The sequence below is a fragment of the Homo sapiens genome, chromosome 12 (assembly GCF_000001405.40).
Source record: "Homo sapiens chromosome 12, GRCh38.p14 Primary Assembly".
Lineage (NCBI taxonomy): Eukaryota > Metazoa > Chordata > Mammalia > Primates > Hominidae > Homo > Homo sapiens.
In genome coordinates, this window is record NC_000012.12 from 48,994,409 (window position 1) to 49,021,877 (window position 27,469).

At 50.0% G+C, this 27,469-nt stretch overlaps 3 protein-coding genes and 1 long non-coding RNA gene across 10 annotated transcripts in view, besides 11 other annotated features; 1 reads left to right on the top strand and 3 right to left on the bottom strand.

Moving 5' to 3' along the window:
• Positions 1-740: 740 nt before the first annotated feature.
• DDN (dendrin) lies at positions 741-4,967 on the bottom strand. The gene is made up of 2 exons (NM_015086.2): positions 4,671-4,967; positions 741-4,258 (listed from the first exon to the last, which is right to left on the bottom strand). Exons 1-2 carry the CDS (start codon positions 4,877-4,879, stop codon positions 2,332-2,334), a joined length of 2,136 nt encoding a protein of 711 aa, NP_055901.2. The 5' UTR covers positions 4,880-4,967; the 3' UTR covers positions 741-2,331.
• Positions 1,058-1,352: an enhancer, noted in NCBI's record as "tiled region #4123; HepG2 Activating DNase unmatched - State 4:PromP". NCBI's record gives its function as "activates a minimal TATA promoter and a strong SV40 promoter by Sharpr-MPRA in HepG2 cells {active_cell/tissue: HepG2}" and the evidence as "EXISTENCE:reporter gene assay evidence [ECO:0000049][PMID:27701403]".
• Positions 1,058-1,352: a silencer, noted in NCBI's record as "tiled region #4123; K562 Repressive DNase matched - State 4:PromP". NCBI's record gives its function as "represses a minimal TATA promoter and a strong SV40 promoter by Sharpr-MPRA in K562 cells {active_cell/tissue: K562}" and the evidence as "EXISTENCE:reporter gene assay evidence [ECO:0000049][PMID:27701403]".
• Positions 2,559-2,948: a silencer, noted in NCBI's record as "silent region_4419". NCBI's record gives its function as "represses an Ori minimal core promoter by ATAC-STARR-seq in GM12878 lymphoblastoid cells {active_cell/tissue: GM12878}" and the evidence as "EXISTENCE:reporter gene assay evidence [ECO:0000049][PMID:35858748]".
• Positions 3,149-3,238: a silencer, noted in NCBI's record as "silent region_4420". NCBI's record gives its function as "represses an Ori minimal core promoter by ATAC-STARR-seq in GM12878 lymphoblastoid cells {active_cell/tissue: GM12878}" and the evidence as "EXISTENCE:reporter gene assay evidence [ECO:0000049][PMID:35858748]".
• Positions 3,599-3,668: an enhancer, noted in NCBI's record as "active region_6301". NCBI's record gives its function as "activates an Ori minimal core promoter by ATAC-STARR-seq in GM12878 lymphoblastoid cells {active_cell/tissue: GM12878}" and the evidence as "EXISTENCE:reporter gene assay evidence [ECO:0000049][PMID:35858748]".
• Positions 3,789-4,248: a silencer, noted in NCBI's record as "silent region_4421". NCBI's record gives its function as "represses an Ori minimal core promoter by ATAC-STARR-seq in GM12878 lymphoblastoid cells {active_cell/tissue: GM12878}" and the evidence as "EXISTENCE:reporter gene assay evidence [ECO:0000049][PMID:35858748]".
• DDN-AS1 (DDN and PRKAG1 antisense RNA 1) lies at positions 3,939-24,832 on the top strand. 2 transcript variants are annotated; one of them, NR_147178.1, is made up of 3 exons: positions 3,939-4,282; positions 14,901-14,981; positions 23,828-24,832. It is a non-coding gene; the product is annotated as a DDN and PRKAG1 antisense RNA 1 (long non-coding RNA). The 2 variants fall into 2 exon arrangements; NR_147179.1 differs by lacking the exon at positions 14,901-14,981.
• Positions 4,898-5,192: a silencer, noted in NCBI's record as "tiled region #2140; K562 Repressive non-DNase unmatched - State 1:Tss". NCBI's record gives its function as "represses a minimal TATA promoter and a strong SV40 promoter by Sharpr-MPRA in K562 cells {active_cell/tissue: K562}" and the evidence as "EXISTENCE:reporter gene assay evidence [ECO:0000049][PMID:27701403]".
• Positions 5,338-5,632: an enhancer, noted in NCBI's record as "tiled region #4008; K562 Activating DNase matched - State 1:Tss". NCBI's record gives its function as "activates a minimal TATA promoter and a strong SV40 promoter by Sharpr-MPRA in K562 cells {active_cell/tissue: K562}" and the evidence as "EXISTENCE:reporter gene assay evidence [ECO:0000049][PMID:27701403]".
• PRKAG1 (protein kinase AMP-activated non-catalytic subunit gamma 1) lies at positions 7,866-24,368 on the bottom strand. 6 transcript variants are annotated; one of them, XM_011538562.3, is made up of 13 exons: positions 24,324-24,368; positions 18,654-18,702; positions 14,018-14,191; positions 11,335-11,444; positions 11,054-11,135; positions 10,898-10,956; positions 10,712-10,757; positions 10,556-10,610; positions 10,099-10,225; positions 9,349-9,514; positions 9,150-9,187; positions 8,736-8,882; positions 7,866-8,598 (listed from the first exon to the last, which is right to left on the bottom strand). In XM_011538562.3, the coding sequence occupies exons 4-13, from the start codon at positions 11,404-11,406 to the stop codon at positions 8,491-8,493; spliced, it is 900 nt and encodes a 299-aa protein (XP_011536864.1). In that variant the 5' UTR covers positions 11,407-11,444; positions 14,018-14,191; positions 18,654-18,702; positions 24,324-24,368; the 3' UTR covers positions 7,866-8,490. The 6 variants fall into 6 exon arrangements, with proteins under 6 accessions (XP_011536864.1, NP_002724.1, NP_001193638.1 ...); NM_002733.5 differs by lacking the exon at positions 14,018-14,191; NM_001206709.2 differs by lacking the exon at positions 14,018-14,191 and having other exon boundaries at positions 10,898-10,983.
• Positions 20,198-20,492: a silencer, noted in NCBI's record as "tiled region #4712; HepG2 Repressive non-DNase unmatched - State 13:Ctcf". NCBI's record gives its function as "represses a minimal TATA promoter and a strong SV40 promoter by Sharpr-MPRA in HepG2 cells {active_cell/tissue: HepG2}" and the evidence as "EXISTENCE:reporter gene assay evidence [ECO:0000049][PMID:27701403]".
• Positions 23,409-23,999: an enhancer, noted in NCBI's record as "NANOG-H3K27ac-H3K4me1 hESC enhancer chr12:49411600-49412190 (GRCh37/hg19 assembly coordinates)". NCBI's record gives its function as "activates a minimal SCP1, AML or CMV promoter by ChIP-STARR-seq in naive H9 embryonic stem cells {active_cell/tissue: H9 hESC(naive)}" and the evidence as "EXISTENCE:reporter gene assay evidence [ECO:0000049][PMID:30033119]".
• The window catches only part of KMT2D (lysine methyltransferase 2D), a 41,817-nt gene continuing 38,917 nt past the window's right edge, over positions 24,570-27,469 (bottom strand). The window contains exon 55 of the mRNA NM_003482.4: positions 24,570-27,464. Within this exon, the coding sequence (NP_003473.3) occupies positions 27,372-27,464 (93 nt within the window). The 3' untranslated portion in view covers positions 24,570-27,371. The remainder of the gene's footprint in view (positions 27,465-27,469) is intronic.
• Positions 24,572-24,771: an enhancer, noted in NCBI's record as "active region_6302". NCBI's record gives its function as "activates an Ori minimal core promoter by ATAC-STARR-seq in GM12878 lymphoblastoid cells {active_cell/tissue: GM12878}" and the evidence as "EXISTENCE:reporter gene assay evidence [ECO:0000049][PMID:35858748]".

Sequence of the window (27,469 nt, forward strand, 5' to 3'; positions counted from 1 at the left end):
CAGATCTCAGGAACCTTTGATCTCTGCCCAAGGTGACACTCCTCCAGCTAGAGCTAACTTGAAACCTGGCAGTCCGGGTTCCTGGAAGTCTCTGGGATGAATCTTCCTGGATAGCTCTGACCAGTGTCTTCCCTCCGGTTCAGAAACCCAAAGAGGACACCTTCCTCCACTGAACCAAGGCCAGCGGCCCAGCTCCTGTCAGATCGTCGCCACCCCCCACCGCAGGCGGTCCTGCCCCACTCCGAGTTCTGCCCAGAGTCCCTCTGGGTGCGGGCGGGAGTGAGGTCGAGATAATTGGAGACTAAAGCCATAAGTGGTTTGAGAGCGGGGTTGGGGACCTGAACGCTGAGCGGGAGTTGGAGTTGAGGGGTCTGGGTTGGAGTGGGAGCAGAGGCGGGCAGGGGGCCGGGGGCTGGGGGCCGGGGCAGGACCGGGCGACTGAGTCTGGGAGAAGCCCCCGCGCCCGCGGAGCCGGCAGCTAAATTTACCCCGGCTGACTCAGCCCTTGCCCGGAATGGGGGGTGGGGGGAGGGCGCCAGGGCAGTGGGAAGAGCCGACAGGGGTGGGCTGGGGGCAAGGAAGGGAGAGTCCCGGCTGGGGGAGAAAAGAGGTGGGCCAGGAGCTCCCAACGAAGAAAGCAGCCCCCTCCCCTCACACAGAGCGGGAAGTAGCAGAGGAGTCCCGGGGGAGGGCCACTGTGGGGAAAGGGTCAGTGAAAGGAAGACGATGCCAAGGCTGGATAAAGGGAAGCTTAGATTTATTGAGCGCCTACTGTGTGCCAGGCAGTGTGCAAGGCGCTTTACATACATTATCGCATTAAATCCTCACAACAACCCTGCGAGGTAGGTGTTTATAAACCCCCATTTGACAGATGAGGAAACTGAGGCTCAGGGAGGTGAAGTGATGTGGCCAAGTTCACATGGCTAATAAATGGCAGACAGAGGAGGTGTCCAAGGATCGGAGAGAAAAAAAAAAAGACTTCGGTGTCTGAGTCCCAAGCCGGCTGGGGTGGATGAGTACAAAGATGGGCCCGGCGGGCTCTAGAAGTCTGGGAGGCCGGAGGCCTGCTCCCGGCCCCGCACGGCTGGAGACTGCAAGGCGGGGGACCCGCGCTCGGGAACTAGGGATAGGATTGAGTGGCAGAGCCGGGATTAGCAACTGGGGAGATCCGCGACCTGCGCGCGCCCTGTAGTGGCTATAGAGAGTATCACACCCCACGCCTGCTGGCTTCTGGTGACCGGCCTCTTTCCTTGCCTGGCCGGTTTCTGGAAGAGGCCAAGATGGGAGAAATTCTCAGGATTTTTTCAGGTGGGCGATACCACCTGGGAGGGAGATCGTGGCCACGCCTCAGAGCATCACTAAGGAGCATCGGGGTGGAGGAAAAGGGGAAGGCCTAAAGAGGTCCCAAGCTGATTCATTGGTGTCCTTCCCTCCCCAGCTCAGACCACCACAGGCCAGGGTCAGTGACAGGGCCGCTATCTTGCCCTGCCTTGGGGAGCCCTCAACCAAACCTGGGAGACTGGGATAGGAGTGCCTCACTCCCTTACCTCTTCTGCAAGCCTTGGGCAGTCTCCTGAATTGATCATGACTTTGGGTGACACGGAGGCCGCCCAGAAACCCTCAAACTCTGTTCACTTATTCCCAATTCTCATTCTTGGCTTGTCGAGGGGAGGATGAGATAGAGTCCTTTCCAAAGATCTCAAAATGTCAGAGACGGAAGGATGGACCTTAGAATACCATCATTTTATATACCAGGAGGCCTGGAGGCCTGGAGAGGGAAAGTGACTGGCCTCAGTCAACCAGCAACTCAGTGGCAGAGTTGGGATTGAAATCCAAGACTTGTGACACCAAGGTGAGCCCTCCTTCTGCTTTGTTGGTTGTTGCTGGACCTATGCCTCTTCTCCCAAGAACCCCTCTGTCATCTGATCACTCTGTCACCAGGTCCAAAGCCTCTCCTTCACTTTTTCCCTCCTCCTCAGAGGCCCTACCCTACCCTGCCCTCCTATGGCTGCCACCATCCCTGCCCTCCTGCCTGATCCTGGTTAGGCCTCTCTGCTCAGCTCCACACCCAGTGCATCAGCCCCTGCGAAGAGCTCACCCTTGTGCCCTGAACATAACAGACATTAATTAAATCTGCTCATTCTCACCTCTCCTGAAACAAAATCATTAATGGGCATATGCTTCCCTTCCTTTCATTTATATTTCAAGGATGAGAACAGGTATGGGTAAAGATACAAGGAAAAGAGAAGCAAAGGAAGTCTGTGGGGAAGAATGGGGACCAGTGGACCCAAGGATGGATGCGTTGGGGACACAAATACAAGAAGGGGCCTCTCACTGCCTCTTCCTATTTCCCTGTTGGGTCCCTCTGATGTCCCTCACCCCGAAGAGGACCTCCTCGGTTTGGCTTATGACATCTAGGATCTCCCCGACACTGTCGCTCAGTTCCGCTGTCTTCCCATCTTCCTCTGGCGAACTGTTTCCAACCTCGGGCAGGGTCCTCTCATTCCGCCAGGAGGCGCCCGGGGCTTCTGTGTCGCTTCCATCAGAGGAGCCGCTATGGACGCTGAGCTCCTCAGCTTCGTCCGTGTCCGAGTCAGGGGCTGTGTGGCGGCGGATACGGGACACGGCTTCTCGCAGGGCCCCGGCGTAGGGCCCTGGGGTCCGCGCCCAGCCCCGGCCGGCGCGCCGCTGGACCACCGCCACTTCCGACCCCTCGGCTCTGCCCTGGGCTCCCGAAGCTGCTGGGCCTAAGGCTTGGTGCTCTGGGCTACCTGGCTGCGTGGGGGCGTCCCGCAGGTTTACTTCGGGGGCCGGGAGCCCCAAGATGCGGAAAGTGCGCTCCTCCAGTGTGGAGTCCCCCGGCCTCCCGCCCTCAGCTTCGCCCCCGCGGCCCCCGCCGGGCTGGTGTAAAAGGCGACTGCTCGACAGCCGCTTTTGACAAGGGGAAGGAAAGACCGTGGCCCCTTCACCCTCCTCCTTGCCGGGCTTCGATTGGCTGGGGGAATCCCCCACCACGCGTGTCACCCCAGAGGGCAAAAGCTGCACCTGCTGGGTTCGGGGGGTTGGAACATATTGGGATCGTATCACTACGCACGTGGCGTCAATGACAAAGACGCCTTCCCCACGGGACAGGCCCTGGGAACTGCGGGGCAAGGTGTGGGCACGGCGGGTCGCCTTCCAACCCTCCAGGGTCTCCGGTCCTGCCCCCTCTCCAAGACCCAGAGATTCTCTCCATCCGGTGCCTCCGGGAGCCCAGGGTCTGGGGAGTGTCTGGCTATGGCGGGGCGGCTGCTTTTTAGGGGAGGGAATCCAGCATTTGGGAAACCAGATCTGTTCTCCTTCTTTCCCTTCCCTCGAGCCCTTGAGGTGGTGCCTGGATCTGGGAGCGGGATGCGGGGCACAGGGAGCCGCAGTTGCAGACCCCGCAGGAGCTATCTCGGTGCCTGCGCTCCCTGTAGCTTTGGCTTGGGGATGGCTGTCGCTACCACTGTTCAGGTCAGCAGCAGCCAGCCCCAGGCTTTTCTCCACGACCCCCTTGCCGGGCTCTGGCCTTGCTCTGGCCGCTCCACAGCCTGGGGATCCCCCCAAGAGACCTTGCCCCTGTCGGAGACCCCAAGCCCCGAGGACGTCCCGGTAGATCCGAGGATCCAGCCTCTTCTTTGTGCGCCCTCCGTCTGTCCTGGCTGGAGTCGCAGCTGGGGCTGATGAAGTGGGCACCTGAGAGTTCCCGGGGCCTCTCTTAGTCCCCAAGGTCCTATGGGGGCCTTCGTAAGAAGGTGGAGCCACGTAGGGTGGCGGCCGGTCCCAGCGGCGTCGTGGGGCGGTCCCGGCAGAACCTCTCAGCAGCAGGTGAGCCTCGTAGCTTGGGGGCCCGGGCCGCCGACCTCCCCAGGGCCCCGCCCACGCCGACCCTGGGTCGCTCTGCGGCTGCGCGGATGGACGGGGCGCTCGCCCCACAGGCGCCAGGCGCTCCGGCCGCAAGGGAGCAGGGAGCCCTGCCAGCTGGGCCACCCGAGGGGCGTTGCGGGGCTCCGGGCGGGGTCGACCCGGGGGGCTCCGTCGGGCCCCACCAGCCTTGCGCCTTTTTCGCTCGGTCTCCTTGGCCTCCCGCTCCTGCGACGCCGCTTTCCTTTTCTCTTGCTCCCGAGCTCGGACCTCGGCCAGGGGCCCCGCCCGCCAGTTGGTCGCCTCCTGCAGCACCCTGGAGGCCCAGGGCCGGCGGGGCGGCGGCTGTGGGGATCCCGGGCGCGGCCCACACCTGGGACAATGAGCAGGAACCCAGGTGAGCAGTTTGTGGGGGAAGGGAGCCGAGGTCCGGGGAGCTGGGAGCACTGGAGACCACTTGGGGCAGCCATGTGAAGGGGTGTGTGTGAGTGTGTGCGCGTGTGCACGTGCGTATATGTTAGGACTGAAGTCGAAGCGGGACTCCTCGCCATCTCTCCATGCACACTTTAACAGCGTCTGCCCCATCTCACCTCCTGCCCTTTCTCACACCCACTTCTGTTCCCCCAAACAACGGGATGAGTCAGGCCCCAGCCCTCGGGAGCGGGCAGAGGTGGAAGGCGTGGGAAAGAGAAGGGGGACCAGCAGTGCTCGCTGGTGCCTGCGGGGAGGTCCGGACCCCACTCCCCGCCCCACCACTCTCTTCCCCTCACCCCTGCTTCACTCACGTGCGGTTCTGGAACCCGCGAGCCCAGTGGCTGGCCTGGAAGTCCATGGGCTGTCGAGAAGGGGCGCGGCGACTATAATGACAGGAAATAGTCTTCACTTCTATCACCAATAGCTTGGACTTCTGCACCCAGAGGCAGCTGCCAGACTCCTCATCCTGGAGCTCCCGGGGGCTGTCAGGCCCCTCGGAGAACAGTGGGCCATCCAGCATCCTGCCCCACCCCACCCCGGCCCCCCACCCTCCCACCCGCCCCAGGAGCCCCCTCCCAGCCCAGGGAGCCGGCGCCCACTGCAGAGCCGCGGGCCCGGGGACTGGGAACTATATATACCCGGGCACACGTGTGTGTGCCTGTCTCTGTGTGTGCGCGCGCATGTGACACCGCGCGGACTGCTCCGCGCTGCTACCTCCCCCATGTGCACGGCCGCCCCCTGGGGCCCGGGATTGGACGCCCCTTCCCACTGCTGTTGTCCCCCAAGCCTGATGGGATCGCACGAGTGGGCGGGGGAGGGACTTATGATTCTTGCCAAGCTGACAGTGCCCCCTCCCCCGCCCCTATTTCTTCAACCTTCCTGCCGTTTTAACCCTTTACTCTCCTGCTTGTCAGGTTGCCTGACCACCAGGGTTCTGCCCCTGGCTTCCTGCCTCAGATTTCAGTTTCCCCAACATAGAGTGATGAGATTGGAACTCAAGGTCTCTGCCTGCCACTCTGCTGGTTTCCATGGGGCTGGGGTGCAGGAGGGGCTGGCCCACGGCTGGGGGGCTATTTTTAGCGGCAGTGGCTGTTCGGGTGCAGAGATGAGATGAGTAACCAGCTCCCATGCGGTGGAGAGAGGAGGCGGTGGCTTTTACCAAGCTTTTGTGCGACTCTGAGGGAGAGCTGCCTTCCCTAAGCTCAAAAAGGGTGACCCCTACACCCGTATCTCCTTGTCAGCTCAGTGCTGCAGCCTAGGACTGCTGGTACAGCAGGACACAGGCGTCTGCCTTGGCCACCCAAGCTGCCCTACCAGTTCCATTCTACATGTTTGTCCTTGGGCAGCCAGGGAGCCCTCCCACAGCAGCAGGCTTTCACCTCCAATCCAGAAGCCAGGATTTGGGGGTTATATTGTTCTGTGCCCACACAGCCTGCCCAGCTTTATGGAGGACAGAGTAAGTGCTTATGCACTCTCACCCTTCCAGAGGGGGATGGAGGAGAAATGATGTGTTTGCTTGGCAAAACTAATCCCCTAGCAACTGAAATGATAAAAGTGGCCTTTATTTTTTTCAATGTAGAACTCCCCCTCACCACCACCACAATGCCTAGTTCACTCAGTCCCCACCTTAAGTGGTGCTCCAGATGCTCACCTTTTGGGCTGCCTCTGTCCTGGGGGGCTGTTGCTTATATCCACATGATCCCTCCTCCTAAGCTTATACCAGGTGTCCCCTGATTCACCATGGTAATGTTAGTGGCAGCACAGCCCACGCCAACCCTTCCATGCAGAGACTTAGCAACCATGCCTGGCAACCATGGCAGCAGCTTCAGTGGAGGGGAGCAGTGCAGAGAGAGGGGAGAGTGTGTGGGGCATGGTTCCTCGGGAAGAAGGGATAATTTGCCTCTCTGGAGAGGAATAGGTAAGAATAGAAGCTTGTGAGTCTCCCAAATTTCATCCCTTGTCTCTCCCTCAGCTTCATCCTCACACTGAGACGGATAGGTTGGGTTTTAGAGGGAAATGGGAGAAGCAAGAGTTCCCAATTAGTTTTCCACTAATGTACATGGAGCCCTTTGGGTCCAGACCCTTCCTTTTAAGGGGATGGGGAACAACCAGAAAGGTTGTGGGGCAGAGACTGACAGACTGAGAAACAACTCAACAAAACCAGGTCTCTGCTCCCTAACACAAACCTTTAGAGAGAACGCAAACATCCCGTCCCATCCACCCTACCCCCCTTGATTCCACACACCTGCCAGCTGCACTGATGACTTGACTCGAAGATGCTTCCTTCCACCCTAGGTCCCACTAGAGTCCTGAGGCTTTTTAAAGCCCTTGCCTCCTCCCTAGGCAAATCTTCCTTAATGAGGGAATGTGACATAAGGGGCCATCTGTCCTTTCCACCATGTGCTTACCCTCCTGACACATAAACATACTCTAATTCTAATAACTTGGAAGCCTTCCTCCCCCAAGGTTGAGAATGTGCTGTGAGAGCTGTAAAGGGGTGAAGGCAGAAGCAGGGGCTCCTCCACAGCCATGATGCAACACTGAAAGCTGAGCTCTGATGAGGGCCACCTTCTTTTTTTAAAATAAGCTTCCTCAGGTCGAATCTGATGAGGGCCTTGATGCTTTTCCCTGTGTTCCATCAGGAGAACCCAGTATGCCCTGGCTGGAGGGTTATCAGAGGGGTTAGGCACTGTGGGGCAGGGGCAAGGAATGACTCCGAAATTGCTCCTGGCTTGGATGGGAAACTGTATCATACCTGCAAGGCTGGGGTGAGCTGGCACCCAAATTTAGCTCATACTCCAGTCTAGCAGTTCTTCTGATGTTGGGTGCTGACTGCTGTTTGGGTCTACATGCTTTCAATACAGGGAATGGATCTGATGGAGTGACCACTGCCCTGCTGTTCTCCCACCATCCAGCTCATTCTCACCTTGGAAGAGGCAAGGGATTTGTAGGTTTAAAGATAGTGCTGGCCGGGTGCGGTGGCTCATGCCTGTAATCCCAGCACTTTGGGAGGCTGAGGCAGGTAGATCACAAGGTCAGGAGTTCGAGACCAGCCTGGCCAATATGGGTGAAACTCCGTCTTTACTAAAAAATACAAAAATTAGCTGGGCGTGGTGGCGCGCGCCTGTAGTCCCAGCTACTCAGGAGGCTGAGGCAGGAGAATCACTTGAACCCGGGAGACGGAGGTTGCAGTGAGCTGAGATTGCGCCATTGCACTCCAACCTGGGCAACAGAGTGAGATTCCATCTCAAAAAAAAAAAAAAAAAAAAAAAAAAAGATAGTGCCAACTCAGCAAAAGCCAAACAGTCCAACCTTCCCCAACTAAGAAAAGCTGATAATGGTGGCAGGATTCTCTGCCCAAAGGAGACCCTCAAGTCTGTCTACTCGTGTGTGTGTACGTGTGTGTGTGCGTACACACGTTATTATTATTGTTAATGACCAGTTGAAGAAGCCATATAAAGTAGGAAGGTAGTACCCATCAACTGTAAAAATCAAACACTGCAATATCGTGAAGAGATTCCTGTCATTTAATTAGATTTGCCACAAAAAGCAATAACCTTAGCTAACCACGCTGCTCTCCTCCTCCACCTAACCCCCATCTCCCTTCATATGCACAAACACAGGAACCCAAAGCCCCTCCTCCCCACAATCCTCCCCACTCACATTATGGGAAGAAATGTCACTAAATGGACTTGGCCTCCTCCATATAGCACGGAACAGGTGAATAAAAATATCTTTATGAAGAATTTTGTTGTGCTATTATCTTAGGGTTGAATCAGGGCCAAGATGGAGGCAGAGGCAAGTGAGGTCTGGGGATCTCTTAGAGATCAGAATTTGTCTGAGAGGCACAGAGCCTATAGTTCACCCAGAAAGGGGGATATATCTAAGAGGACAGGGGCTAGAACTGGCTAGGCTGAAAGTTTTTTCAAGTGTATGTGTGAGGGTAAGGGTAGCTATAAATCCATTCTCTTTCCTCCCCCATACCTTCCCTAGCTCCCAGATAGAAGGGCAGGGGACCCTGAACAGGGAACAGAGTCACAATTCCCTCAAGTTTCATCTGATTCCCACAGAGCTTCCAGCAGGCAGTGAGTTGGGCATATCCCCTGGTGCTGCATGACCCCTTCCCCCAGCTCAGGGCTTCTTCTCTCCACCTGTGAGCACCAGGGCCTGCAGGATGTCAGACAGTGATACAATTCCCTTGACCACATCATTTTCATCCACCACTACAAGTCGGTGAACCTGGCACAGAGCAACAAGGGAGAAAGGGAATGTTTAGTGCTGGCCTCAGGGGAAGCCCCTCTGCCCCTACTCTCCTTGCCAAACCCCACTCTCAAGGCTGCTCCCCTCAGCTCCTTTAGGGTTGCTGGCCTCCCTACCTCTGCTTCCACTAGCCTGTTGATGATGGTCTCCAGAGTCTCATGCAGGTAGCACTTGAGAACACCCTCAAAGTAATGTGATCGATGTTGCAAGGCTTTAGTCACAGATACATCTAGGTTGTTGTAGGTCTTTTCTGCTGCCAGATTCTGGGGAGACAGAGGAAGGAGCTTGCAGGGAAGCAAGAGAGCCAGCCTCCAAACCCTGAACCCATCCAACCTCAACAGAGGGATTCAGGGCAATTGTCAGCCACAAGCCACACCCAACTCATTCAATTCCTTTTCAAATAGGATTTGAAAGCCTGGAAGCTTCTAAGACCCTTAGATCACAGAAGAGACTCCCTTCTCCCTCTCCATATTTAACAGTGCCCCCCCCCCACCACTTCCCTACCTCCCAGACCCTCCACAATCACTCACGATAACATCAAACTTGGAGTAGATGTCCACCACACGCCCTAGGGGGACAGAGGCAGCTCAGTAAGGAGGATCTGGGATCTAAAGCTCCCCCTACTCATAGAATCACCCTCCTGGCTAAGCTGAGGGGAAAGCAGATCTTCCCAGAGCCACCCTGACTTGCCTGGATCTTCCCTCCCTCTCCTTCTGCCCAATCTCTCACCCTTCTCATCCACCACTGGCAGGGCTGAGACTCGATGCTGTACAAAAATCCCCAGAGCCACATAGACGGGGGTGGTAGTGCGAACCATAGCAATATTGGCATAGGTGCCAATCTGTAGCTCTTCCAGAGACTTGGACATGAACTCTGGCTTGGGGAACTCAGTGATCTGAGGAAAGAACCATCAGCTTAACTTTCAAGGCACCCAAAGCCACCCTTGGATACCCCCTCCAACCCAGTATATTAGAAATAAGGGCTGGGTGCGCCGGCTTATGCCTATAATCCCAGCACTTTGGGAGGCTGAGGGGGACATATTGCTTGAGCCCAGGAGTTCGAGACCAGCCTGGGCAACATGGCAAAACCCTATCTCTATAAAAAATACCAAAAAATTAGCCAGGTGTGGTGGTACACACGTGTAGTCCCAGCTCTTCTGGGGGTTGAGGTCGGGGGTCACCTGAGACCAAGAGGTTGGAGGCTGCAGTGAGCCATGATAGCGCCTCTGCACGCCAGCCTGGGCAACAGAGTAAGAACTTGTCTCAAAATAAATTAATAAATAAATAAGAAGTGGGGCTGGATGCAGTGGCTCACACCTGTAATCCTAGCACTTTGGGAGGCTGAGGCGGGAGGATCACTTGAGCTCAGGAGTTTGACACTAGCCTGAGCAACACAGTGAGACCTCGTCTCTCTTTTCAATCAATCAATCAATCAATCAATGAAAAAAGAGAAAAAAGAACTGGGCTGAGGAGCACTTACAAACAATTTGAGGAACTTCAGAATGCGCTTGTGGGTGAGGATGTACAAAGTATTGCCTGATTCTGGGTCAATAACTGGCAGCCTGTGGATCTTGTTCCGAATTAATGAAGAGACAGCATCAAACAAGCTGTGAGAGGGTGGGAGATAATAAGTTCCACAGTGCTGGGGCTGGGGGTGATTAAACAGGTCCATACAGTGTATTGCTCAACAGGGAAAACTGATGGTTAGGGAAGGGGGGCAGTGTACAGGCCAGACTTAAAGAGAAAGAGAGAGAGAGAGAGAGTGAGAATGAGAGAGAGAGAGAGACTGTGTGTGTGTGTGTGTGTGTGTGTGTGTGTGTGTGTGTGTGTGTGTGTCTTTTCTCTCTTCTTCCCCTTTCCCTGGGTGTCTAGGGCATTAGCTAGGCTGATGACAAAATCTCTTCCGCTTTTTGGACAGATGGGTAACTGGAACTCACCTGGCATTAGGAGAAATGCAGACAAGCGGTTTAAAGGAGTCCTGGAGATACACCTCTGAAGGGAAAAGGGATGGGTCACAAAATACCACCATGGAAAAGTGTTTCCCAGAAACCCGCCATCCCTTTATCCTTTTATAACCCCAATTCTCTACATACCTCTCCAAGTTTCTATCTTGTGTTCTTCTAGCTCATAGATCTGTACCTGAAAGCAGAAGCAACAGAATTTGAGACCTGATCTCTCTGCTTCCTTAAGCCCTCGTGGCTTGCTTGGAGAAAAAGAAATGAGAATGAGGGATTTAGGGCAGGGAAAGTGATTTTGGTCATTGGGTTAAGGTTCCTTACCAAGGCTGATTTATAGTAGCGGTGCAGGATATTGATGAAATCAGTGATGGTCAGCATGCCTAGAGGACAAGACAGAGCCCTCAGCACTGCCTGAAGCTTGTCTCCCTGCCCAGCACAAGATGCCAATAATATTGTGTTCCAGAAACTTTTGCTTACCCACAAAACTTTGCTTCTTACTATCCCATAAAGGGGCAGCTCGTACACCGTTAGTCACCAAAGCAAAAAAAGCTTTCTTCACCTGTAGCCAAGACAGTAATAATCATAAAGGCAAATCCACAGGGGCAGGACTGTAAAAAAAGAACAGTGTTTGGGCATGTTGGGTAAAACATGAGACTAACTTCACAGAAGGATAAGGATATTACCCTTAGGATGAGATAGGATGAGAGGTATTAAACCACAGGCTCCAAAGGGGGAAGGGAAAAGAGGATTTCACCCACCTGCAGGGACGTATCAAATACAACCAATTTGGAGCTTGTGGGAATCAGGTCATAGCAGCGATGAGACTTCATGAAGGAAGTATACACGCTATTGTTGGATTCTGGGGTCTCTGCATAGGGTGGGATAGTTAGTAGCTTCCTTCCACATAAAAACTCCCAATCAAAAGAGACAGAAAACAAAATAGTGTTCTAGTATCTCAAATATTTAGAGCATTATTTTTTAATAAGACCCCTTATTTTATCTGTCTTGTTCCTATTGTTTCCACAAAACCTGGATAAACCTCTTAGAAACCATTTCATCCAACCCCTGTCTCCAGGTTAAGACTTTATCTATTGGTCCCTATAGGTAAAAGAAGTTGACTAAAACATAAAGCCTATAGTATCTCTCTTTAACATGTTATAGTCTAAAAATGTTTCTCATCTTTAATCCAAGCTTTCCCTTTCATATACTTAGCACATTTTCACTTTCCTCTTTTTTCAATGAAGTAAGCTTCTTAAAATTCTTCCAAGACTGTGCTGGGGATGGTGGCAAGCACCTGTAATCCCAGCTACTCAGGAAGTTGAGGCAGAGGATCACTTGAACCCAGGAGCTCGAGGCCAGCCTGGGCAACACAGCGAACCCCTGTCTCAATTAAAAAAAAAATTATTCTAAGACCTGCAAATGGGAAAGTCATGGTCCAAGTTGGGCCATTTCTCATTAACAATAAGTTGGAGCCCAGTGCTCAATCAACCTGGCTCAAAACACCCTGATAGTCCATTCTGGGATCACCCTGTAAATCAGAAATCATCCCACCTACTCTAGACAAATGGGAGATCCTGGCTAGTTTACCTTTTTCTATTCCTGTGATTTTAATTGCTTGCTCTAAACTAGGGAAGTAATCTCCCAAAATAATAGCTTGAATGTGCTACATACTATACTACGTGCACTTAAAAATATTACATTGAGGCTGGGCGTGGTGGCTCATGCCTGTAATCCCAGAACTTTGGGAGGCCAAGGTGGGAGGATCACCTGAGGTCGGGAGTTCAAGACCAGCCTGACCAACATGGATAAACCCTGTCTCTATTAAAAATACAAAATTAGCCGGGCATGGTGGCGCATGCCTGTAATCCCAGCTACTCGGGAGGCTGAGGCAGGAGAATTGCTTGAACCCGGGAGGCAGAGGTTGCGATGAGCCGAGATCGCAACATTGCACTCCAGCCTGGGCAACAAGAGTGAAACTCCGTGTCAAAAAAATAAATAAATAAATAAATAAATTACATTGGCTGGGCGTGGTGGCTCACACCTGTAACCCAGGACTTTGGGAGGCCAAGGTGGGTGGATCACCTGAGGTCAGAAGTTTGAGACCAGCCTGGCCAACATGGCGAAACCCCGTCTCTACTAAAAAAATATAAAAATTAGCCAGGCGTGGTGGCACGTGCCTGTAGTCCCAGCTACTCAGGGGGCTGAGGCAGGAGAATTGCTTGAACCCAGGAGGTGGAGGTTGCAGTGAGACGAGATTGTGCCTCTGCACTCCAGCCTGGGCGACAGAGTGAGACTCCGTCTCAAAAAAAAAAAAAAAAAATTACATAATTTAATCCTTACAACAAATGTGTAAGTAATGTCCTCATGTTTCAGATGAGAAAATAGGTGTAGTTAAATAAACTGCTCAAGGTCACACCATTAATAAGTGGCAAGAAAGACTCAAACAAACCCAGATCTGTTTCCAAACTTCATGCTCTTAAGTCTTTAATCAATTTGGTTTTTAATATTTATTTTTTTAACCAAAGTTATATAGACACACAGTTAAATCAGTCCAACAGTTTTACAAATTTTGTTAAGAAAAAATTGCACTCCTTGCAACCCACCTCCCTGTACTACCCTTCCCCAGAGATGAGAACATCTATCTACCTTAGTTGATTATTTTGGTACTTAATTCTATGTCCTTAAATAACATGCTTGTATTGCTAGTTTCCATTTTTTTTTTCATTTTGGGGCATTATTTATCATCTATCTACCAAAGAAGATGAGAATTTCTAGTTCTCTCTCCTACTAGGACTCCACCACAAACACGTACTTCCCATTCTCCTCATTATTCCAGGAGCTAAACCATAATGTTGGTTATATCCGTATTTCAATCTTTTTTTTTTTTTTTTTTGAGAGGGAGTCTTGCTCTGTCACCCAGGCTGAAGTGCAGTGGCACGATCTCAGGTTACTACAACCTCAGCCTTCCAGGTTCAAGCGATTCTCCTGCCTCAGCCTCGCAAGTAGCTGGGGTTACAGGTGCCCGCCACCATGCCCGGCTAAATTTTGTATTTTAGTAGAGACAGGGTTTCACCACATTGGCCAGGCTGATCTCGAACTCCTGACCTCATGTGATCTGCCCGCTTTGGCCTCCCAAAGTGCTGAGATTACAGGAATGAGCCACTGCACCCGGCCAGTATTTAAATCATTTTGACTGAATATTTATTATTCAGAGATAAGCCAAATAGTAAACTCTGATTTTTTTTTCTTCCTTCACAACTTTGTTTTACCTGGAGTTAATGTCTTGTCCTTTTGTTTAATTTTCTATGTATAATTCTTATAACTAATCCAACCCCCAAATGCTTCACCAACTATTTAAATCTCCTTTTAAGAGGTTCAAAAGCATTAGACAGTCTATCAAAATTTAAACTACCCAAAGAAATCTCCCTGGAGCCTTCTGACCTGCTCAAATCTGGGCTGGTTTGTCTGGTGTGCACTGCTGTCATCCTGGGATCTTTCTTCATCACCATCCTGGGTACCCCTTTCACGTCTGTCCTCTACTGGTGCTCCTATATCGCGTTTTTATCTTTTTTGATTACTCCCTTATTTTGGTGGAACACATCTTCCAGTAGCTTCCTGAGAAAGGGTGCATGGGAGGTATGTGTTTTTGAGACCTTGCAGCCTGTAGATATCTTTATTCTACCCTCATCCTTGGATTTATAATTCGGCTGAATAGAGAATCTGCAGGAAAGCTTGGAATGTGTTTTCCTGCAGAATGTTGAAGGCATTGCTCCATTGCCTGCTAGCTGCTGGTGTTGTTGAGAGTCCAAGGCAATTCTGACTTTTTGTATGTGACTTTTTTTTCCTCTCTCTGAAAACTCATAGGATCTCTGTTTCCAGTGTTCTGAAATCTCAGGATGACTGTGCTTTGGGTGGGTCACTTTCATCCATTGTGCTGAATATTCGATGGGTCCTTTCAATATGAAAACTAATGTCCTCAAGTTCCAATAAATGTTCTTGAATTAGTTCCTCAATTATTTCCTTCCCTCTGTGTTGCCATTTTTCTTTTTCTATGACTCCTATTTAGATACTGGACCTCCTAGACTGATCCTTTAAATGTTTGTTTGTTTTGTGGGTTGTTGGAATCTTTCCTCTCCTTTTTTTTTTTTTTTTTTAAAGAGACAGGCTTTCATTCTGTTACCCAGGCTGGAGTACAATGGCGAGATCATGGCTCACCTGCAGCCTTGACCTTCTGGGCTCAAGCAATTCTCCTATCTCAGCCTCCTGAGTAGCTGGGACTACAAGTGTATGCCACTATGCCTGGCTAATTTTTATTTTTTTGTAGAGACAGGGTCTTGCTGTGTTGCTGAGCTGGTCTTGAACTCCTGGCCTCCCGCCTCAGTCTCCCAAAGTGCTGGGATTACAGGTATGAGCCACTGCACCTTCTCTCCTATTTTCTACTTTGTTGATTTTTAACTCTCCTTTCTGGGAAATTTCCTCATGTTGATTTTTGAAACCTCCAGCTGGGTTTAAATTTTTGCTACTATATTTTTAATTTCCAAGAGTTCCTTTTTGTTTTCTGAAAATTCCTTCTTTAAAAAATTGTATCCTATACTTGTTTCATGGTGGAAATAAGGTTTTTTGTTGTTGTTGTTTTTGTTTTTTTGAGACAGAGTTTCACTCTTGTTGCCCAGGCTGGAGTGCAATGGTGCAATCTCGGCTCACAGCAACCTCCACCTCCTGGGTTCAAGCGATTCTCCTGTCTCAGCCTCCCGAGTATCTGGGATTACAGGTACATGCCACCATGCCCAGCTAATTTTTGTATTTTTAGTACAGACAGGGTTTCATCATATTGGGCAGGCTGGTCTCAAACTCCTGACCTCAGGTGATCTGCCTGCCTCGGCCTCCCAAAGTGCTGGGATTACAGGCGTGAGCCACCGTGCCCGGCTGTTGTTTTCTTTAAAGATATACTACTTTCACAGGTATTGAGAAATATGTTCCTTTATCTAAGATTATATTAATGTTATTAAAGTTTTCTTCTCATCTTTTCCTTCCAGTTGCTTTTTTCCTGTTTGTTTCTTCTGTGTGTACATGAGGTTGGGAGAGGCAGTTTGCTTTTTCATTTTTATTTATTTTTTACCAGGGAGATACAGCCTTCAGAGTAAAACAAAGGTACATTCCAGAGTGGGGTGGGGGGCAGTTTGGATCACTTTTTTTCACAGATCCTTTCTTTAGATGTTTGGTAATCCCTAGTTTAAAGGAGAACTTAAACCATAACTTAAGAGTGGAGGCTTTAAAGCTGAGTGGAAGCTCTAAGTGTGTAAGTGAGCCTTGCTGACAGTGAGTCATTTGGATAGGGAACATTCAATACTTATATATTTTAGGACTTCCCTTCAAGAGGATTCTGGAGAGAAGGATTATTCAATTTCATGCTTGGAGGGTGAAGGCTCTTCTGCCAGCGCTCTGGAAACTGAAAAGGGGGAAAGGGCTGGAGGCTCAGCATCGAGTATAGTTCACTACATGCTCCTGTTTTCAGTGCAGTACTTCAGCCCTAAGCTGTGCCCGAGTCCCTTGCCAGATTTCCAGTCTCTGCCACAGTTGGGAGGCAGAGTTGCCCACTGTACTCAATGGGGTAGGGTGTCTTGGGATCTGACTGTTTCTTAGACCTTCAATGCTTCTTGGCTTTCCTCACTGCTAGTTATAATTCAGTTTTCTCAGGTCTAAGTCATTCATCACTCTTTTGTCTGCTTTTCAGCTTCCAAAAATTCATTGCTATTATCTCCTCTCCTGTTTTCCCTATGGTGTGTTTGTGTCTTTTTCTTTAAAAAAATTCCTTTATGGTGGTTTTAGGGGAGTTTTTGGGAATATATATTCAATGTACCACCTTTTTTTTTTTTTGAGACAGAGTCTTGCTCTGTCACCCAAGCTGGAGTGCAGTGGTGCGATCTCCACTCACTGCAACCTCCTCCTCCTGAGTTCAAGCGATTCTCATGCCTCAGCCTCCCAAGTAGCTGGGATTACGGCACATGTCACCATGCCTGGCTAATTTTTATATTTTTAGTAGAGACGGGGTTTCACCATGTTGGCCAGGCTGGTCTCAAACTCTTGTTCTCAAGTGATCCACCCGCCTCAGCCTCCCAAAGTGCTGGGATTACAAGCATGAGCCACTACGCGCAGCCCAATCTACCAATCTACCGTCTTTAACTGGAAGCCTACCATTGTTATTCAAACTTGAGAATTCAGACTCCCAAGAACATGTCTTTGGACACCAGTTGAAGATACATACACTACATTGATAGTTAAATACTATCATTCAGGCCACAGGCCCATAAACATATTGGATTTGGCTTTCTCAGTGTTTGTTTGTTTATAATTGAGACAGGATCTCACTCTCTGCCCAGGCTGGAGTGCAAAAAATTTTTAATTTTTTGTAGAGACAGGGTCTCACTAAGTTATCCAGGCTGGTTTCGAACTCCTGAGCTCAAGTGATCCTCCTGCCTTGGCCTCTCAAAGTGCTGGTGTTACACTGTGCCCAGACTTGAAGATCTGGCAAAAATAGGTCTTAGTTGACCAGACCTAGATAGTTGTCGCCTTTTTTTTTTTTTGAGACGGAGTTTCACTTTTGTTGCCCAGGCTGGAGTACAATGGCATGATCTCGGCTCACTGCAACAAAATCTGCCTCCCAGGTTCAAGCGATTCTGTGATTCTCCTGCCTCAGCCTCCCAAGCAGCTGGGATTATAGGCGCCCACCATCAAGCCCAGCTAATTTTTTCTACTTAGTAGAGATGGGGTTCCACCATGTTGATCAGACTGGTCTGTAACTTGTGACCTCAGGTGATCCACCTGCCTTGGCCTCCCAATGTGGTGGGATTACAGGCGTGAGCCACCACACCCAGCTGCCTTTAGTTTTTTGAGACAGAGTCTTGTGCTGTCGCCCAGGCTGGGGTGTAGTGGCACAGTCTCGGCTCACTGCAACCTCTGCCTCCCAGGTTCTAAAAATTCTCCTGCCTCAGCCTCCCGAGTAGCTGGGATTACAGGCATGCAGCTCCACGCCCAGCTAATTTTTTATTTTTAGTAGAGACAAGATTTCACGATGTTGGCCAGGCTGGTCTTCAACTTCTGACCTTAGGTGATCCACCCACCTTGGCCTCCCAAAGTGCTGGGAATACAGTCATGAATCACCATGCCCGGCCCAGCTGTCGCCTTCTTTTCATATGTAGTTCACTTCACTGCTTGGTCCATGTAGGCAATTTGAGTTTCTAGTTTCTGCCTTGGTGCTAATGCAAATGTACTCAGAAACATAAAATAGGCACTGGCCAGCATTGGAACTGTCTTCCCTGTGCTCTGGATTTTAGAGGTTTAGTGCTTCTATTACTAGATTAGTTCTAAGAGCCTTTTCCTAATTTTTTTCTTTCTTTTTTTTTTTTTTCTGAGACGAAGTTTCACTCTTGTTGCCCAGGCTGGAGTGCAATGGCACGATCTTGGCTCACTGCAATTTCTGCCTCCCTGGTTCAGGCAATTGTGCTTCAGCCTCCCAAGTAGCTGGGATTACAGGCATGCGCCACCACACCTGGCTGATTTTGTATTTTTAGTAGAGACAGGGTTTCACCAGGTTGGTCAGGCTGGTCTCAAACTCCTGAGCTCAAGTGATCCACCTGCCTCGGCCTCCCAAAGTGCTGGGATTACAGGTGTAAGCCACTGCACCAAGCCCTTTGCATAATTTTTGGTGTACATTCAGTGGCTTTAGTGAGCTTGCTGGGTGATAAAATCCTGGTAGCACTGTTTCTGGACTATGCAGAAAATACCCAGGACTTCTAAAACATGGTAGCCAGCCCAGAGTTGCCTATGGAAGTTTTGCCTGTACCTCAGATGTTTCTCTCAAGTGGTTTGATAATTGAAGATATTAATCATCCCCACTCTGCCCAAGATTTATTCCTGGGTGATCTTGCCAAACTACTGTCACTGATTTTTGTGGTTTGGCACATTATCTGGCCCTGCTTTGATTTTTCCAGGGGAGAGATTCAAAAGCATTGTTGAAGACATTGTTAGGGTCAGGCTATTGTTTTCATGCCCAGTTTCCTTTCTTCAGTAAACTTACCTTGAGGATGCTCATTTTCCACAGCTGGGGAGCTATCTGAAGAAATGACCTGGAGAGATAAGAAAACAGATTCAGCTTAACCTGGTTCCATCCATTTTAGCCTAGCAACATTAGGGGAAGGGCTGGTGAACAAATAATGACTTTCTTTAAAGCACTATAAAGCCACTGCCCCCGCCAAACCCTTTTTTTTTTGTTTTTGAGACAAGGTCTCGCTCTGTCACCCAGGCTGCAGTGCAGTGGTGTGATCACAGCTCACTTCAGCCTTGACCTCCTCGGGGTCAGGTGATCCTCTCTCACCTCAGCCTCCTGAGTAGCTGGGACTACAGGTGCAAGCCACTATACCCAGCTAATTTTTGTATTTTTAGTAGAGATGGAGTTTTGCCATGTTGCCCAGGCTGGTCTTGAACTCCTGGGCTCAAGTGATTGCCCTCCTTGGCCTCTCAAAGCACTACGATTACAGGCACGAGTTACTGCACCCAGCCTTATAAGGCTCTTCAGAAATATGATCTCATTTAATCTTCATAACAACCCTGAGGTAAATACTATTATTAGCCTTATTTTCACAGATTGTCTCTGAGGGTCAAGAGACATTAAGCAACTTGCCCAAGGTCACATGGCTGATAAGGGGTGGAGTAGGCATTCAAACACCTATCTTCTGGTTCCAGAGCTTGTGGTTTGCTTTTGTTTACATCAAAATTTTAATAAATAACATACTTGAAAAAACAAATTTTTAAAAAACTACGTATACCTAACAAAATAATTTCTTATAACTGATGAAGAGTTTGGTTGGGTTTATCTTGGCAGTGTTCATTTTTGTAAATTTTTTTGTTTGTTTTGTTTTGAGGCAGAGTCTTGCTCTGTTGCCCAGGCTGGAGTGCAGTGGCGTGATCTTGGCTCACTGCAACTGCCTCCTCCTGGGTTCAAGCAATTCCCGTGCCTCAGCCTCCTGAGAGCTGGAATTACAGGCGTGCACCACCACACCCACCTAATTTTCATATTTATAACAGAGATGGGGTTTTACCATGTTGGCCAGGCTGGTCTCAAACTCCTGACCTCAACTGATCTGCCCGCCTCAGCCTCACAAAGTGCTGGGATTACAGGCATGAGCCACCACGCCCGGCCATTTTTATAAAATTTTTGAATGTATTTACTCCATTCTGATGAAATTCTACCTCTCTGGAATCACAGAAGAGAAGAAACCAATACTGCTACAATATTGTGCCTTCCAGAAATGCTTCTATCCACTTCTGAGCTGAACGAGCATTATCTGCAAAGCTCATGTTCTTGTACACTATACTGCCTAATGAAACACTAGGTCCTAAAAGCTAAGACTAAAGATCTGAGCTTAGGGCTAACCCCTACAAGATTCTCACAGATCTACTTTATTAAAACATGGAAGCCAGAGAGACAGCATTGTCTTCCCCAAACACAGACACTCACTAGGCATAGTTGTAGGCACTAGAACCACAGACACTGGTTCCACCATTGTCTAGCTCCATGGCAGAGAGAGAGCCACAACTGGGGAGGATCCCAGTAGCTGACTGTCAGCCAGTCAAAACCTGAATGACTGAGAGGTGGATAAGGAACACGAATGTACTGAAACTGGGAACTTGAGTCCACTCAGCACCCTTGTGAGTCAAAGGCTGCTATAGCCAGGGGATGCTGGTTTTCCAAGTTTCCCTTCCCAAGATAGTCTGAGATTAGAGAGTGCTTTGACTAGACAAAACTTAGAACCATTTCTGTGCTCCCTCAAGTGGGAACATTTGGAAATGCCATTGTTATTTAGGAACCCAGAAGGGATCACAACAATTTTCATCTGCTAGCATCAACAGTCTTGGCTCCATTTTCTCTGGGTGATATCTCCAAAATAAAACCATACTTCATCCCCATAGCTTCTGTAGTAACATGACATTAAAAACTTCAACCTGGGAGGTTGGCTGACAAACTTCCTAAACCAGGGAAGTTTAAGACAGCCCTAAACTTTTCTCCCTTAATGGGCTAGGGGAGAGTGCAGGGAGTAAGGGGGATAATCTCCCTCTTCCCACTGGACTGCATAAGACTGTCAGCTTGGCCTGCCATTTTGGCAAGACTATCAGAACAACAGCCTCATCACTTATAAGTGGGAGAGAGGGCTGTGATAAAGATAGACACATGATATATCAGAGTCTCACAAAGATCTACACAAAGGCACAAAAACAGCTACTTCTGTAGAATTTACCCATCATATGATATATACTGTACTGTGCTACAGTTATTTTGTTCATTATCTATCCAAACAGATTATAAATTCCTGGAAACCTAGAACTATCTTATACTTTGTATCTCCCATACCACCAAGCACAGGGTTTTGCATATAATTCACAGTTGTTTTGTTTTTTAATTCTCAAAGAATGATGCACACTGATATGAACAGATATGCCCAAGACTAAGTTACAGAGGGAGGAAAGAAACATAGAGCTAACTAGAGATACAGATACCAACATAAGAGAGTCAAACACAACTGCATATGTGACTTTTTTTTTGGGCGGGTGGGCAGAGTCTCGCTGTGTCTCCCAGGCTGGAGTGCAGTGATGCGATCTTGGCTCACTGTAATCTCCGCCTCCGGGGTTCAAGCGATTCTCCTGCCTCAGCCTCCCAAGTAGCTGGGACTACAGATGCCTGCCACCACGCCCAGCTAAGTTTTTTTTTGTATTTTTAGTAGAGACGGGGTTTCACTATGTTGGCCAGGCTGGTCTTAAACTCCTGACCTCGTGATCCACCCGCCTCGGCCTCCCAAAGTGCTGGGATTACAGGTATGCGCCACCGAGCCTGGCCGTGACTTTTAACTTTCTGCCTGTTTCACCATATCAGAGGGGGGATTATGTAATTACATCTACTCCTTTCTACCTTTTTTTTTTTTTTTGAGACAGGGTGTCACTCTGTCATTCAGGCTGGAGTGCAGCGGCATGATCACAGATCACTGCATCTTCAACTTCCCCAGCTTCTCCGACTTCTGCCTCCCGGGCTGCTGGGACTACAGGAACATACCACCAGGCCCAGCTACTTTTTGTATTTTTTTGTAGAGATGGGGTCTCGCTATGTTGACCAGGCTAGTCTTGAGCTCCTGGGCTCAAGCGATCCGGCCACCTTGGCCTCCCAAAATTCTGGGATTACAGGCAAGAGCCACTGCTCCTGGCCTCCTTTCTACTTTTAATAACATAAGGGACCTGAGAAAGTACCACTGTACCACGCAAGTACAAAATATTACAGAGACACAGTCTACATCTGACAAATAGACTCGCAATTTCTTCCAAACTTCTGATCTACATTTCCAATTATTTGTTTGACAACCATAGATGTCACAGAGACTCCTCAAATGCTTGAATACGAAACAAAACATTTGTCCCTCCAATCCTATTATTCTCGCTGTGGTTCCCATCTTGTTTTTTTGTTTTGCACAGCTGTCTTCTTAACACTTATCAGCTAAGCTGGTATGTTAGAAATGTCTCAGATCCATCTCTCTCATTGCCAATATCACAGCCTTAATTTAGGCTTTTACCTCTCACCTCTGCAACGTTGTTTAAACTGGGGTCCTTGGCCCAAATCTATCTGTTCTTCAATTTATCTTTCATGCTTTCACCAAGTTTGTTCACCAAAGCATCTCAGATTTGGAAGGGACTTTCATCCCCATTAACAAGAAACTTTACTTTTCGAAGTAGCTCAGTCCATGTACAGAAAGCTGCTATGAACATTCCTAAAGGACATTCACTGACTTGCTCATAAATCTTCCATGGGTCCCCTATTACAAAACAAAGTTCAAATTTAGCATGGTGTGTAATACCTTCAACCTGATCTTAGCCTGCTTTTCCAGTCTTTTCTCCCACTGTGACCAAAATCCAAAGCCAGCAACATCATGCCGCTGGCTCACCCCCAGTTCTCTACATACCCCAATTTCAGTGCCCTTGCTCACACTGTTCTCTCAATTTGCAGTGCCCTCTCCTAGGTCCAAAGTAATTTTTCTCTCAGCTATTCTGTCACAGTCCTCTGTTTTCATATTGATGACAGCATTTATTATAGTCTACCTTTAAATAACAGCTGTTGCTGGCTTGCCCTCACCATCACTCCAGTTAGGCTGAACATTTTCAAAGCAGGAGTTTTCTTTCTTTTCTTTTTTTTTGGAGACAGGATCTCACTGTGTCACTCAGACTGGAGTGCAGTGGCATGATCTCAGCTCACTCCAGCCTCCACCTCTTTGGATCAAGCGATCCTCCCACCTGAGCCTCCCGAGTAGCTGGGACTACAGGCACACACCACCACCACCACGCCTGGGTAATTTTTGTATTTTTGTTTCTGTCGAGACAGGCTTTCATCATGTTGCCCAGGCTGATGCTGAACTCCTGAGCTCAAGCAATCCACTTGCCTTGGCCTCCCAAAGTACTGGCATTACAGGCGTGAGCCACCACACCTGGCTGAGTTTTCTTTTTCCTCTTTTTAACTTCTACCCCAGAGCCTAATCCAGTACATAAAGTGTAAAGGCTAAATTAGAAAATCTATATAAAAATGCTTTGTAAACCATAATACATTTACAAGTAAGTAGAATATGACATGTCATTTTAAATTTAATGGAATTAGACTCCTTATTTTTGTTTAAGATTATCCTGATTAGTCAGAATTGGCTCCCTTGCCTGGGAGACCAACTGCGAATCATTTTAGTACTTTGGTCGGTTTTCTTTTTGAAAACCTGAAAGAAACAACCTCTCTGTGAGCAGAGAAACGGTGTGGCAAAGAATTACTCTGGGCATGTAATCCAAAGCAAAGTGAACCTGCAGTCCTTTCGTAACTACAGTAGCAGATGATAAAAACCAAGATGGAAAGAGTTACTCTGCCTGAAAGAAGACACATGGTTAAAAACTGTGGAGAGGGAAGTGTATGGGAGGGGTTACAGAGCGCTAGAAAAAGACTCCTGAGAGTGAGGGTGGGTGCAAACATGTAGCAGGCAACCCGCAGCATCTGTGGGAGGGTGACAGGGCCCTGCCACAATTGGTCAATGCCTGCTCGCCAAGAATGAGCTATGCCAAAACCCCTGCTTAGAGTCGCAGAGCGGGCCATGACCTAAAATTGTCCAGGGACACATCGGCCTCTAACACTGCAAGATTTCCTCTTTCAAGCAAACCTCAATTCTCGGTCTTATTAAGGGAATGTGACTTCACTGGACGCAGTATAAAGATCTTCAGATGTCCTCCTGCCGGGGATTGCAGGGATCACAGAAAGACCATCGAGGTCCAGGAGCTACCTGCAAGCGGAGATCCCTCTGGACGCCCCGTGCCTCACCCAGCAAAGCCGGCTCACAACCCTGCGCTCTCAAACCTCTAAAAGGGCTTGAGGTGCCAATAGGAAAGGAGGCCCGAGATTGCCACGGCATACGTGGGCCCCAAGGAGGGAGCCAGGAGTCACTGCCTGCTTGGGCTAAGGGTACCGCGTACGGAAAGGCGGCGGGGACGCGGCCCAGTTCCAGGAGATGCGCCCAACGAAGAAGCGGAGGAACAGGGTCACGGGATAGGGCAGACACCCGGCTGCTTTTTGTTTGCTAGACACCAGCGCCAGCCCCTGCCCGGCCCTCCCGGTCTCCTAAGGGTTGGGGGGGTGTCTTAGGCTCCACAGCGCCCCCGACCGCCCTCCTGCACTCCTCACCGTCTCCATTGCAAGAGGCGCCCGGCTTGGTTTCCTCGCTTTAGGAAACTCTCTTGGGGCAGGCCCCGCCCCACATCCGGTGCGGCGACGCCACTTCCGCCCACGTCATGGCAGTCGCCAGACTGGGGCGGAAGGCAAGGAACCCACCCTTCCGGCGGTGGCGGGCCTCGGTAACCGCCCTCCCCCGGGTCCTCGCGGACCGCACGGATCCGGCTGACGGCGAGGGTCATGGGACGGAGCCGCTTGTATTTAAAATGTTCTTTTTTTATTTGTCGTTTAAAAACAAACTTGGAAGAAGCAAAATCCAAAACTTGCCCTTTGCCTCTCGCAACATAAATATGTACAGTTCAGAATGATCGCTGATACAAAACATGCCAAGGACAGGGGCGCTGAGGGTGGAGGGAGAGAGGGCGCTTTAAAAAAGGGAACCATTTCATCCGTTGTTACGAAGGACCAACCTTGCTGTACAGGATACACACAACACAAAATAAAGTCTTCACGGGATTCACACTTGTCAGCGATTTATTTTTTAAAAAGGGGGAGGGTCCTGGAGGTGAGGGGAGAAGACTGTAAAGGGGAAAACTGAAAACTGAGTATGTGCGAGTGTAAACCAACCCAAAATACAAACACGGGGGCGGGGGGTGGGGTGGGGGATTCTGATGCAATTATACAGGCAGGGTACTTAAAAAAAAAACCAACCAAAATTCCAACCTTGTAGCTTGGGTCTGAGTTATAGTTTATATAAAAATTAAAAACTGTATAAGGTTTCTTCACTAAATTCTACAGGACTATCGGATACCTAGCATATGCTTACAAAGTCTGCCCCATCCCCTTTTCCCAATCCCAGGGCCCAAGCCCCAAACACAGCCTGACTCACGGGAGCCAATCTCCCCCTCCCTGTAGCCTAGACCTTCTGCTCTCGGAAAAGGAACATCCAAGGGCTGTGGCTTTGAGGGCAGCAGCCCAGTCTTCCTACTGTCTGATTTAATTACAGCGGTTCCTGTGGGAGTGGGGGCTGTTATTCTCTTAAACATTTGCAGCTTGAAACAGTTGAGGAAGCAGCTTTAAAAAAAAAAAATCTCCCTACCCCCAACAATCCACAACCCCCCAAATTCAAAACAAAACAAAAACAAACCTAAAATCACAACAGCGACCAAGCTCCCCCTCCAGCAGGCCCGCCCGTCCACCACCACCAAGCCCACCCCTACACTCCAGACATCTGATTCTTGAAAATATTAATTACAAAATGCCCTTTGCCCACAGCCCCTAGAAGAGAACTGCATATAAGCTTCATCTTCATCCCCACGGTTCCCTACCAGAGAGGGGTTTGGGGCCTCACCCACCCCTTACCTACTCCCACCCCCAGGAAGAGGTTCAACTGCAGCACAAGCTTGGGCAGAAAGGGGAAGGAAAGGGAGGCAAGGAACCCATCACCCTCTGGCTCCCCCTGGGGTCAGCTCTCTTTTGTGCGTTATAACATAGTCCAACTATACAACAGGGGGTGGGAATTGCCCAGCCTCTATACCCCCATCTTACAGCAGTCACAGCCAGGGGGTGGGGAGTGGGGTGGGGGGTGAGGAAAAGGGCGGTAGGTCGGGTAATGGAGGGGGCCCCCCCACAAGGGGAGCTCCATGTGTCCGCCCCACACCCCCCTACCATTTATAAACTGGTTTTGTAAAAAGAAAATAGATATATTTATATAGAATATATAAAGCACAAAAATTAGTAGTTTTACATTTGCTCTCCCCGGGGGGTGGGGGGAGAGGGGAGGGTTCTCACCTCCAGCCGGCTCCCCCATGCCCCACAAGACTATGTACAATCCCATGTATAAATAGATAAATACCCCCCACCCTCCCCGCGCTGACACTAAGCTCCCCCACCCCCACATCACCACCCCTTCCCACCAGACCAGCAGCAGTTTGGTGACTGAGGGAAAGTGGGAGCTCCGGGCCACACCCTGCCTCACTAGGTATGGGCATGCCACTCAGGGATAGCCCTCACCCTACCCCCCACCCAACCCGTCCAGGGGCTGGAGGGCAAACAGGCTCATGATGAGGTTGGGAAAACAGGAGGGAGATATCCTGGTCCTAGGTTTAGCTCCCTCCTGCCCCCATGTCCAGATGGAGAAGGAAGTCCTAGAGCAACTAGGGGCCAGTCATCCCCAATCTTCATCATCATTTGCCTCAACCACCATCCCATGCCCATAATTAAAAACAAAGATGGATTTTTTGTTGTTGTTTTTCTTCCTCCTCCTACCCCCCTTCCACCCACTCAGAAGAGGGCAGTGAGGTGGGGGAGAGGGTTGGGGCAGTAGGGGGCTTGGAGAGGGTCTCACATTTCAAAACAGCAAAAAATCCAACACTTAAATGAGGTAGGTGTGGGTGCGGGGTCTCCTTGCCCGGCTTGCCCAGCTTGCCCTCCTAGGCAGCTGGGCGCCTCTTTCCCGTTCATGTTGCATTTGTCAGAGTGGAAAACAAGGAAACACAACCCATAGAGAGACAGAAACACAGAGGAAAAGAGGGAAACAGAGACAGATCAAGAGGGAGGGGGATGGGGGTGAGGGTGGGGGCAGGACCCGGCAGGCAGGGCCAGGTGTGGGACCCGGCCTTTGGGATTGTCAAGCTTAGTCAAGTCTCTTTGCAGCCGTGAGTTGGGCCGGAGAGGTCAGTGGGAGCAGCAGGGCTGTGAGGCCCGGCCACACATCCTCTTCCCCCACCCTGCTGCCTCCCAGATGCTTCTGGGTAGTTCCCGGCCCATATCCCCCTCAAACCTGAGATGCCCAATGGCTGCTTCTGTCTGGCCCCTCCTGGAGCTGGGGGCAGAGATGCCAGCCTGAGGGCCGGTGGTGGGGAAGAGGATTGTCCCTGGTGCCCAGGGTGGGCTTGGCCTAGGGCCCTCTGCCCCAGCCTCCTGCTCCAGGGGCTCCGGGTCAGCCGGCAGCCCCAACCCTGGGTCCTGGCTCTGGCTGCTACCTCTCTTCCCCCTCATCCCTTTCAGGGAAGAGGTTGTGGGTAGGGGGACTCCCCTGCCTGGTAGCCTCAAAGCTTCTTAGTTCATCCATTTCCGACAATTCCAGGCTCCACAGTGGCAGGGGATCTTGTGCTGATCGTCCTCAAAATCAAACTGATAGTCATAGGTTAGCTGAA

Bases quoted from the DNA above. Each gene is read 5' to 3' on its own strand.
- DDN (NM_015086.2), bottom strand. From the start codon at position 4,879: ATGCTGGATGGCCCACTGTTCTCCGAGGGGCCTGACAGCCCCCGGGAG. The intron at 4,259-4,670 runs GTGAGTGAAGCA...TCATTGTCCCAG, and splicing joins CGCGGGTTCCAGAACCGCAC to GTGTGGGCCGCGCCCGGGAT.
- PRKAG1 (NM_001206709.2), bottom strand. The intron at 11,136-11,334 runs GTGGGTGAAATC...TCTTGGCTACAG, and splicing joins TATTTGATACGTCCCTGCAG to GTGAAGAAAGCTTTTTTTGC. The intron at 8,599-8,735 runs GTAGGGAGGCCA...GCTCTGTGCCAG, and splicing joins ACAGGCTAGTGGAAGCAGAG to GTTCACCGACTTGTAGTGGT.